Raw genomic sequence first — 12141 nt, forward strand, 5'->3', positions numbered from 1 at the left:
ATGATGCATTCTGTTGATTGATCATATTGTAGGTGGCAACTGAATACAGCATCTGATATGTGTAGCCTATCTGCCAACACACACACACACACACACACACACACACACACACACACACACACACACATTGAGAAATAAATCATCAGAAATATTTCTGTGTTCTGGTCAAAATTATCATTTGCAAGTAAGAGAAAACAACTCAATATAGCTCAGGAAAAAAAATATTTTATTTCAGGGTTAAAAACAAGTCCGATGCAAATTTAGCAAGCAGATTATGCAAATTCAGCAGGCAGATTTGGGGAAGAGGGAGCTGGAATGATGTACATGTGAATCATCTCAGTTGCTTTCTTTTCCTGTCTGCTCTTCTTCTGCTGACTCATCTGTTCCATTATCATCAGTCTCACAACTAGTTCCCTTACATCCTTAGTGCACATGTAGCACCATCACATCATCCCATCATCACATCATTGAACATGATTTGACATCAACTTTCAACTTATGTTCAACACTGATTACAGTATCCCCTTTTCCTTTGAAATGTAAAGTATACAGATCACACATCTTTAATCAAGTAAGATGTACACAAGTGCATTAAGTAAATAAAAATTATTTCTGGTGACAAATAGGTGAATAAAATCAGAATGAAAATAAATATTGCCATTTACATATATTAAGTAATTGTGCCAGGCATGTATTATAAATTTGGAAATTAGCTGTTACTACTTCCATTTTATGTATAGGAAACCAAAACATAGACAAGTTAAGTAACTTGCTCAAGGTTACACAACTCATAAGAATAGGTCCCAACTAGCCCAAGGGTCATCAGACTCCACGCAGTGTGACATCAATGCCCATATTCCAAACACTGCCTACTGTATTGCTATTCTGTAGCAATACAGCTAAAGCAAGACAATGTTAATAAAAAAGTGAACACTTACAGGTGAAATAGTAGAAGAAGAAAAGCCATATGAGACAAAGACTAATCATGCCTGGCAGATAATTTAAGGGGGAAAACCATTTCCTAAGTAGAAATGTATGCATGTTTATGTAAATGCTAGACCTACCTGGTAGCAGTAAATTTATTTTGGATATGAAAGCATCAGGACATCATTTTCATTTTATTTAGCATTTAATCCCCTTCTCTTCTAACTTCAGCTCTTCTTACTCTATTCTCACTGAGAAAACTTTTTATAACTTGGCTTCCCATGTAATTCACCTACAAGGAAAAGATATATATTTTAAGCCAACACAAATGATTAATATGTCCAAGAATATTTCTTACTATAGTTATGAAATTGGCATCCTGAATTAAATAATTTAGGCTCATATTGCCAATGAGTTTCCTAAATCTGATACATGTTATGATACTGAGAAAATAGACTTTTTGGCAAAGTAGAAATTGAATTGGAATTACATAAGATAATAATTGCATTTTAAGAATGTCATGGGATAAATGTGCAGGCTTTCGTGACAATAGCTCTAGCTTAGCAACCAAAGGAAAAGCATTACGAAAGTATTTAGTGTGGGCCTGCATATTGTCTTTGTGGCAGTGAAGCACTCTTATTACTGTGCAGCCTCTCAGAGCAAGGAAAGGGGAAAAGTGAAGATAAAAATAGAGAGAGGTTCAAAAATTTACACTTGCCAAATTATGACCTGAACCTAGGGAGTCTTGTATATTTATAGGGGTTTGTGTGTGTGTGTGTGTGTGTGTGTGTCTGTCTGTCTGTCTGTCTCTCTGTCTTATGAGAGAAAGGGTAGAAGTGTCTGCTTTCTATCATCCTAAACCCTTATTATGACAATAGGAATGTTAGTATTTTGTCTGCAATAATTTGTGTGGGGGGATTGTGGTGATGCTGGTATTGCAACATTTAGAGCACCTAATTTACTCTCTTCTTTACCTTGTTGCTCTTCTTATGGTGAGCGTGTGAAATTAGTTCAATTTGACCTAAGGCTGCTCCATATGTTGAGTCCCCATATAGTGAACTGCAACATAACTTTGTACGTAAACCAACCAAAAGCAACCTTGAGTATAACAAATAGCTGATTTTTCAGCCAATCACAACCAGACAAGTTTCAGCCAGTTATAGGCAGCCAAGTCATCACATTATGCCCAAATAAGGCAGATGCCTTATCACACTATGCCCAAATAGGTAATTTCTGTACTTTGATTATTTTCGTCTGGCCTCTGAAACTCAATACTCATGCTGTTGGGGTGGAGCTCTCTACAACTCCAGTGGTTCAGGGTGCTGCCCAATTCATGAATTATTATTTCCTTAAATAAATTCTACTATATTTAATTTGACTGAAGTTTTTCTTTTTAATGGTTTAGTATCAAAAGAGGGATTCAAAGAAGACCTCTGGTGACCCCAGGAGCACTGAGTGACCAAGCAAAGGTGATTCCCAGGATCGACTGTGCCTATTGTTCTCTTGGAGCAACTAGAGGTTGTCAGTGAGTTCCCTGTAAGATTTGAACTCTACAAATTTGTGTTTTGAATTATTGAAGTTTATTTCAGCAATCATTTTAATGAACTGGGTCCAATATTGGATTGGACCTGATAACTAGCTGAAATGGATCCAGTTAGAAACCTCAGATAGGTAACTGAAAATAAGTTTCTTTAAATCTAAGTTTAGGATACCAGGAGCCTGTGACTTTATTTTCTAGGGTAACAGCTAATTTGAGATACAAAAATTTATGATCCCAGAACCTGTGTGGTTTTGTAAAAATGGATTAACACCTTACTAAGGGCAACTTGGGATTACAGTGTCCAGAGTGTGGAACTTAAAAAAAATTATTCATTCGTAAGTCACATTAGAAAAGAAAGAATCTAAAATGTCAAAAAAGCAATGAGATACATTCTCTAATTGATGTTCAAAGACATCTAAAATATTTAAAAAATCAAAGATTGACCCTTAAGCATATAGGTTTTTTTTTTTTTTTTTTTTTTTTTTTTGAGATGGAGTCTTACTCTGTCACCTGGGATGGAGTGCAGTGGCATGATCTCGGCTCACTGCAACCTGTGCCTCCCGGGTTCAAGTGATTTTTCTGCCTCAGCCCCCCGAGTAGCTGGGACTACAAACCCCCGCCACCAGGCTCCGCTAATTTTTGTATTTTTAGTACAGACAGGGTTTCACCATATTGGCCAGGCTGGTCCCAAACTCCTAACCTTGTGATCCACCCACCTTGGCCTCCCAAAGTGCTGGGATTACAGGCATGAGCCACTGTGCCCGCCCAAGAATATATATTTTTGAAATCTTAAAAATATTTTCCACAAACAGTAGTCAAAAGCTTTAACCATCAAGGTAAGTAATCTTGCTTCATTGGCATGGCCAGAAAAAAAAAATTAGCTCTAGATATTCTTTAATGCATTAGTGAGCTTTGTGTCATTATGCCTGTCACATGGCTAAAATATTTAAATAAAATCTATAAGATCTGTTTGAGTTTGTATGTTTACATATGTCTGTATTATGTTATGTGTATGTGATATTTCCCTATACTACTCATGGTATTGCCAAAATTAAATTGTAAAATTTTTTATTTAATAGGCTTAAAGAAAAAGAAACACTTATGTAAAATATTTTTTACACACTTAGAAAGATAGAAAGTAACCTATAATGTTTTTCAGGTTCATGTTATCTGGCATAAATTTCAGTAAATATAAGCTAGTAAAAGTGTGCTAGCTTGATTAAAACAGGAATGCCTTCAGAGTTGTTGGCATTAAATATAATACACATGTACAATTTTCTAGGTTTATTAGTAAAATAATTTTATATTACCTTTACATTTTAAAATTTGTCAGTAAGAAAAAATAACTCCAACTGATGGAAAGCTAGCTGTTTAATATTTCACCATCTCGAGGATTCCAAGTATAATTCTTAAAAACAAGTGAACTAAATAGATGCATGTAAGATAAAATTCCTATTTGAAAGACGTCCTTCTTATACCAGAAGGTTTTAATATTCTTATTATGAAGAATGGAAAGTTCTGCATAATAAGTCTGAGTAAATAAAAATTTAATTCTCACTTCTTGCCAAAAAAACTACGAGGATAGAGATAAAATTTTTCCTCCTATACAGTTTCTTATTACAGATAAATTAAAGATAGGTGGGACTATTAGTAAACATAGTTTGTGCCACACTGAAAAATTATATTATGAAAAAGCACATGCTCCTAGAAATTATAATTCATAGATTTGAAAGTCTACTCTGTAGATGCTAGTGTGACATATAGTTTACAATTGCTTGCTTCCTAGTGTTTGCTAGAAATTAAGGTCATTAAAGACTAAGAATTCTAATGAATATATGTAAATAATGTTGTTAGAAATGAAAAGGGAAACAACTTTATATGCAAGTATATGAGAAAAGCAAGATGTGCTTTTGGCAAGCAAAGCTATAAGGTATGGGAAAGTGTTTGGTTGTGTTAAGGAAAAAAAAGTAATTTTTATCGTGAAGTACAACTGGTTGTTCCAATGAAAAAGAAAAAGTATAAGACTAAACTGAATAGACATAAGCAAGTTGTAGAAAATTTGTAGAACATGAATTTTGGAAAATAAATTTTATATGTGAACAAGCTAAGATTAGAAGAGAACTATTCATAAGTCTTTTCTAAAATTGAGCATTAATATCAAAACTACACTAATATAAAAATAGAATTTGATTCTCTCTGTGAAAAAACACAATTTTATTGGAATATTAGTCTGCTTTAAATATAAAATTGTAAAAGGTTATATTATTACTTTTTTAGGTAATTGGCCTAGAAAAATTCAATATTTATCAAGATGATCTGCTATACTTCATGTTATCTTTTTTTCTTTTTCTTTTTCTTTTACTTTAAGTTCCGGGATATATGTGCAGAATGTGCAGGTTTGTTACATAGGTATACATGTGCCATAGTGGTTTGCTGCACCTATCAACCCAACATCTAGGTTTTAAGCCCTGCATGCATGAGGTGTTTGTCCTGATGCTATCCCTCCCCTTGCCCCCTACGCCCCAGAAGACCCCGGTGTGCAAAGTTCCCCTACCTGTGTCCATGTGTTCTCATTGTTCAACTCCCACTTATGAATGAGAACATACAGTGTTTGGTTTTCTGTTCCTGTGTCAGTTTGCTGAGAATGATGGTTTCCAGCTTCATCCATGTCCCTGCAAAGGACATTAACTCATTCTTTTTTACGGCTGCAGCTTCATGTTATCTTTTTCAGGCTTCTGATTACTTAAGAAAACTGAGCCTTGTCTATTAAAAGATCAAGATTTTTCTACAACCATGTAAATTTTCATATTTGCCTTTGAAGTCTTTAACTCTTACTCTTGTTAACTGAATGATTATTTTTCAGAGTAAACTGTGATTCTATTTTAATCAAGTCCTTTAAATCTTTTGACATTTTTGACTTTCCAAAATCAAATACTCAATTAACATCTTTGACTTTGAACTAACTTTGGGAGGTTCCAGTGGGCCACTGGAATACCACAAAAGTTTCTTCTCTCTTTCAGAGAGTTGACAAAGTAGGCTTATTTAGCACGTTAAATTGCATGGAAAGCATTGTGAAATAATAATTGATACTGAACCTGTATTGAGTTATTGTATAGATATGTTATTAATATGTGCTTCATAAATTGGATGAAATTAGAAATCTGAAAGTTTTGGTATAATGCTACCAGTGACAATCATAATTATTATCTTAGAATATTGTATGTTACAGAAACAATTGAATTTCCTTGCCCATTGTGTTTTAGTAAACTCTCATCAGATCTTTAACCATGGAAATTTTAAATATTGTCATTCACAGAGAGCTAATTACTTTATTCTGGTACTTTCCTGAAAGTTTTTGCAAGTAACTATAAACCTAAAAGTGTTTCATCTCTGAGAAGACTCTATAAAAGTCTCTAACAAGTGTACTTACTTGTTACCTTACTTACTGATAATTGGTCAAGGTAAGAATTTCCAGAACTTTAATGAAAAAATGAATTCGTTTATAAAACTGTCAACATCAAGCAAAACAAGAATTCATTAAATACCAAGAACATGCTTTGCCATGGTTTTATGCCAAGTAAGCTGGAATTGAAACTGTTAAGATATGCAAGTTAAATAAACTCTGTAAGATTAACCCAAGTTAATTTACTTATGATAACCTAGTCAATAAACAGTGTTTTGCACCTGAATTGGAGAACAAACCTGTCATTTCAAAGAATGTAAATTCAATGTTAAGCATGGACTCATGGAGAATCTGGATGGCTGCCTGGTCCTTCCCAAGTTCTTTAATATCATTAAAATTTTTACAGACTCTGACTCATTATGGAAGAGATAAAATGACTCAAATTATTAAAAAAATTGGTAAAGTTACTGTTTAAAATGGATAAAATAATTTATAACCAATGTTTGGTTTGTCAAACTCATAATCCTAGTAAGACAATAAAAACCTCAAGTGGTATGTTTCTGGTGCATCGTGGATTATTTGGACACTTACAGATGTATTTCATTCTATTTCCACTTTCAGTGCTGGTTTTCTGGTTATGTAGAAGCTTTCCCATACAGAAAGACTGATGCTATAACAGTAAATAAAAGGTCATTAGAAAATATGTTGATAGTTAACATTTCTTGCTGTAGTTGGATAATATGTTTGATGTGATCGAAACTCAATTGTAAGAAAGGAACAAACAAGATACTTGCTTAAAACAAATAGACTCCTCTTCTCACTCATTTTTTTGACATATTTTAATTGATTTGGTTCATGAGAGCTCCTATGAAGAAGTACACTTTAACCTCTTGGTATTATCTTCCTGATAGCCATCACAATAGTCTCCCTGACAGGCCATATTCTCTCACAAGTCATAAGTGCTAATATGCAGCCATCTGTTGTGTGTCAAATGGTCTCACTGCATTTAAAATAAGAAAAACATAAGGAGAACATAAAGAATCATTCAACTACCCCAATGTCATTAATTGTGAATTTCATACTGAGAACAAACAAGTCCATTCTGATGGTGACAGAGAGTGATGCCAATGCCCAAATTTTTGGTTATTCTCCTAAAATTGAGAGGCTGATCAAAAGGGAAGAATTGTCATTTAAACTTACCTGGAGCCTGCCTCTGTACCTTAAGTCCCTACATAGTGAACTGAAACCTACCTTAGTATATAAACAAATCAAAAGTAACATTAGGATTATAAAAAACAGTCAAGTTATAGCCAATCACAATCAGCCAGGCTGCAGTCAATCACAGGCATCTAACTCATCACACCATGCCCAAATAAGGCAGATGCCTTATTTGTTGTAGCCAATCAGGTGATTTCTCTACTTTGCTTTGGTTTCAATCTATGCAAACTTGCTGCTCACACTGCTGCGTAGAGCTTTCTGCACCTCTACGTGTTCAGGGTGCTACCTGATTCATGAATTCTTTTGTGCTCAAATGAACTCTGCTAAATTTAATTTCTCTATTATTCTTCTTTTAACAGTTTCAAATCCCTAAGCTAGATAACATAGAAGTAAGTTTGTAGAGTTTTTCCTTAGAAGGGATTTTAAAAATGGAATTGCAATTCTGGAAAGGTGAAACTAGAGATACAGTGAAATGATCAGTGATTGCTAACGGTTTAGGGGAGACAGGGATAAAGGCTAAGCACAAGAGACTTTAGGGCTGTGAAAGCATTCTGTGTGATACTTTAATGGTGGATACGTGTCATTATACATTTGTCCAAATCCAAAGAATGCACAACACCAAAACTGCACTCTAATATAAACTATAAACTTTGGTTGAGAATGATGTGCCAGTATAGGTTCATCAATTGCAACAAATATACCTCTCTGTCAGGAGATTGTGATAGTAGGGAGCGTATGCCTACATGGGGGAAAGGTGTATATGGGAACACTGTATTTTCCAATCAAGTTTGCTGTGAACATAAAACTGCTCTGAAAATAACATATATATTTAAAAAATGAAATAGCAAATAAATATTCCTTGAAATAATTTACAGTTGCAATAGTGTTTTATTTCAGCTTTTTATTTTAAAAATGAGAAAACTATAAAGTCCAGAGAAGTTAAAAAAAATTCCAATTTACCATTATTAAATTATTAACAATAGAGAGGTGAAGCAAGATGGCAGAATAAAGGGTTCCATCCATTGTTCCCCCAGCAAGGACACCAATTTAACAACTATCTAACCAGAAAAAAACACCATTAAAACCAAAAATCAACTGAGCACTTATAGTACCTAGTTTAAACTTTATATTGCTTAAAGAGGCACCAAAGAAATTAAAAAAACAGTCTTGAATTGCCATCACCACACCTCCCCACACCTAGCAGCAGCATCATGGTGTGGAGAGCATCTCTGGGCACTGCAGGAGGGAGAACACAGCAATTGTGAGGCATTAAGCTCAGTGCTATCTTGCTAGAGCACATAGGAAAACCGGCCCAAACTCAGCTGATGACCACCCACGGAGGGAGCATTTCAACCAGCCATAGCCAGGGAGGAATTGCTGATCCCAGCAGTCAGAACTTGAGTTCCCAGAAACCTCAACACCAAGAGCTACAGTGCTATGTGTCTCCAAATGAAATGGAAAGGCAGTGTAGACTACATAGACTGCAACTCTTGGGTGAGTCCTAGTGCTGAACTAGAACCTGAGACAGTGGACTAGGGGATGAAGGTGGGGTGTGTAACATACTGAGACACCAGCTAGGGCAGCTAAGGAAGGGCTGGCATTACCCCTTTCTTAACCTCAGGCTACACAGCTCATGGCTCCAAAAGAGACCCTTTCCTTCTGCTTCAGGATAGGACAGTAAAGAAAGGGGAGGACTTTCTCTTGCATCTTGGATACCAGCCCAGACAGAGCAAGATAGGGCACCAATCAGAGTCACAAAGTCCCAATTCTAGGCTCTTGTTCCCAAAAGACATTTCTAGACATACCCTGGGCCAGAAGGGAATTTGCTGCCTTGAAGGAAAAGACCCAGTCATGACAACATTCATCGCCTGCTAACTGAAGAGCCCTTGGGCCTTGAGTAATCAGCAGTGATACCCAGGTCCTACATCAAGGGCCTTGGATGAGCCTCTGACACTTGCTGGCTTCAGGTGAGACTCAGCATATTACTAGCTGTGGTGACTATGGGGCAAAACTCCTTCTGCTTGAGAAAAGCAGAGGGAAAAGTAAAGGAGACTTTGTCTTGCACCTTGGGTACCAGCATGCCCACAGTGGGGTAGAACAGTAAGCAGGCTCTTAGAGTCCCTGATTCCAGGACTTGACTCTTGAATAGGATTTCTAATCCTGGCCTGGGCTAGAGGGGAACCCATTGCCCTGAAGTCCCAGGCCAGGTAGCATTCCCAACGAGCTGACTTAAGAGCCCTTGGGCCTTAAGGGAACTTCAGGTGTTGTCTGGCAGTACTCCTTATGGCCTGGGTTGGCAATGGCTATGAAGTGAGGCTCCTTTGTCTTTGAAAGGGGAGGGAAGACTGAGAAAAACTGTATATTGTGGTTTGAGTGTCGGCTAAGCTGCAGTACAATAGAACACCACATCAAATTCTAAGGTTTTAAACTCTAGTCCTTCACTCCTGGATGACGCCTTTGGACACGTTAGGGCCTGGGGAAACTTGACACCCTGAAGGGAAGGACATAGGCCTGGGTGGCTTCACCACTGGCTGATTTTAGAACCATAGGGCCTTGAGCAAACATAAGCAGTAGCCAGGGACTGCTTATGGCAGGCCTTGGGCTACACCTAGCGTTGTACCTACTTTAGGTCTGAACCAGCACAGTCATAGTGGTGGGTGGTGGGCACAGAGGTCCTTGAGTCACTCCATTCACAGCTTTAGGTAGCTTAGAACAGATGGAGAGACTCTGGTTTTTTTTTGTTTTTGTTTGTTTGTTTGTTTTTGAGATGGAGTCTCACTGTGTCGCCCAGGCTGTAGTGCAATGGCACGATCTCAGCTCACTGCAACCTCTGCCCCCCAAGATCAAGCAATTCTTGTGATTCAGCCTCCTGAGTAGCTGGGATTACAGGTGCCCACCACTATGCCCAGCTAATTTTTGTATTTTTAGTAGAGACGGGGCTTCACCATGTTGGGCAGGCTGGTCTAGAACTCCTGACCTCAGGTGATCCATCTGCCTCGGCCTCCCAAATTGCTAGGATTACAAGCATGAGCCACCACACCTGGCCAAGACTGTTTTGTGGGGAGACAGTGAGAGAAGAGAATAAGAGTCTCTGCTGGATAATCCAGAGAATTCTCAAGGATCTTGTCCAAGACCATCAAGGCGGTATCTCTATGAGTCTACAAAAACCACAGCATTACTGGGCTTGGGGTGACCCCTAAAGGAGATATATCTTAGATCACAACACCCAAGTCCTTTCAAATATCTGGAAAGCCTTTCCAAGAAGGATGGGTACAAATAAGACCAGACAGTGAAGACTACAATAAATATCTAAGTCTTCCATACTCAGATGATGAAGAATATGTACTACCATCAACACCAGGAAAAAATGACCTCACCAATTGAACTGAATAAGGCACCAGGGACCATTTCTAGAGAAACAGAGATATGTGACCTTTCAGATAGAGCATTCAAAATAGCTGTGTTGAGGAAACAAATAAATTCAAGGTAACACAGAGAAGGAATTCAGAATTCTATTAGATAAATTTAACAAAGAGATTGAAATAATTAAAAAGTATCAGGCAGCAATTCTGGAGCTGAAAAAATGCAATTGGCATACTGAAGAATGCAACAGAGTCCTTTAACAAAGAATTAATCAAGCAGAAGAAAGAATTAGTGAGCTTGAAGACAGGCTGTTTGAAAATATAGTGTCAGAGGAGACAAAAAAAAAAGATAAAAAACAATGAAGCACACCTACATTATCTAGAAGATAGATTCAAAAGGGTAAATCTAAGAGTTATTGGCCTTAAAAAGGAGGCAGCAAAATAGATAGCGGTAGAAAGTTTATTCAAAGGGATAACAGAGAACTTCTGAAACCTACAAAAAGTTATCAATATCCAAGCAGAAGAAGGTAACAGAACAATAAGCAGATTTAACCAAAAGAGGACTGCCTCAAACCACTTAAAAATTAAACTCCCAAAGATCAAGGATAAAGAATTTTAAAGGCAGCAAGAGAAAACAAATAACATACAACAGTGTGTCAATACATCTGGTAGCAGACTTTGCAGTGGAAACCTTACAGGTCAAGAGAGAGTGGCATGGTATATTTAAAATGCTTAAGGAAAAAATGTTTATTCTAGAATAGTATATCTGGCAAAAATATCTTTCAAACATGAAAGAGAATTAAAGTCTTTCCTAGATAAACAAAAACTGTGATTTCATAAACACCAGACTTGTCCTACAGGAAATGCTAAAGAGAACACTTCATCAGAAAGAAAAAGACATTAATGAGCAGTAAGTAATCACCTGAAGGTATAAAATTCATGGGTAACAGTAAATACATGGAAAAACACAGAATATCATAACACTGTAACTGTTGTGTTTAAGTTCCTCAACCTAAGTAGAAAGACTAAATGATGAACCAATCAAAAATAATAACTCCAACTGTACTTTTTAAGACACAGACAGTACAATAACACACAAATAGAAACAGCAAACAGTTAAAAAGCAGGGGACAGAGTTAAGGCATGGAGTTTTTATTAGTATTTGGGTTTTGGCATGTCTATTTATGCAAACACTATTAAGTGGTTATCAGGTTAAAATAATGGGTTATAATATTTGCAAGCCTCATGCTAATCTGAAGCCAAAAAGTATACAACGGAGACACAAAAAAATAAAAAGCAGGAAATTAATCATATCACCATAGAAAATCACCTTCTCTGAAGGAAGATAGGAAGGAAAGAAAAGGACAAGAAGACCACAAAACTATCAGAAAACAATATTACAGGAGTTAAGTCCTTACTTGTCAATAATAATATTGAACATAAGTGAACTAAACTTTCTAATCCAAAGACATAGACTGGATAGAATGGAAGAAAGTACACGACCCATTGATCTCCTGCCTGCAAGAAACACATGTCAGCTATAAATACACATTTAGATTAAAAATAAAGGAATGAAAAAATATATTCCATGACAATGGAAACCAAAACAAGAATGGGAGTAGCTATACTTATATGAGACAAAATAGATTTCAAGAAAAAAACAGTAAGAAGAGACGAGTAATGTCACTATACAA

The 12141-nt window shown here is 36.5% G+C and overlaps 1 annotated feature.

The window, feature by feature from the left end:
* Positions 254 to 454: a silencer, noted in NCBI's record as "peak5843 fragment used in MPRA reporter construct". NCBI's record gives its function as "represses an SCP1 promoter by STARR-seq MPRAs in K562 erythroleukemia cells {active_cell/tissue: K562}" and the evidence as "EXISTENCE:reporter gene assay evidence [ECO:0000049][PMID:32103011]".

The sequence above is a fragment of the Homo sapiens genome, chromosome 6 (assembly GCF_000001405.40).
Source record: "Homo sapiens chromosome 6, GRCh38.p14 Primary Assembly".
NCBI classification, from domain to species: Eukaryota; Metazoa; Chordata; class Mammalia; order Primates; family Hominidae; genus Homo; species Homo sapiens.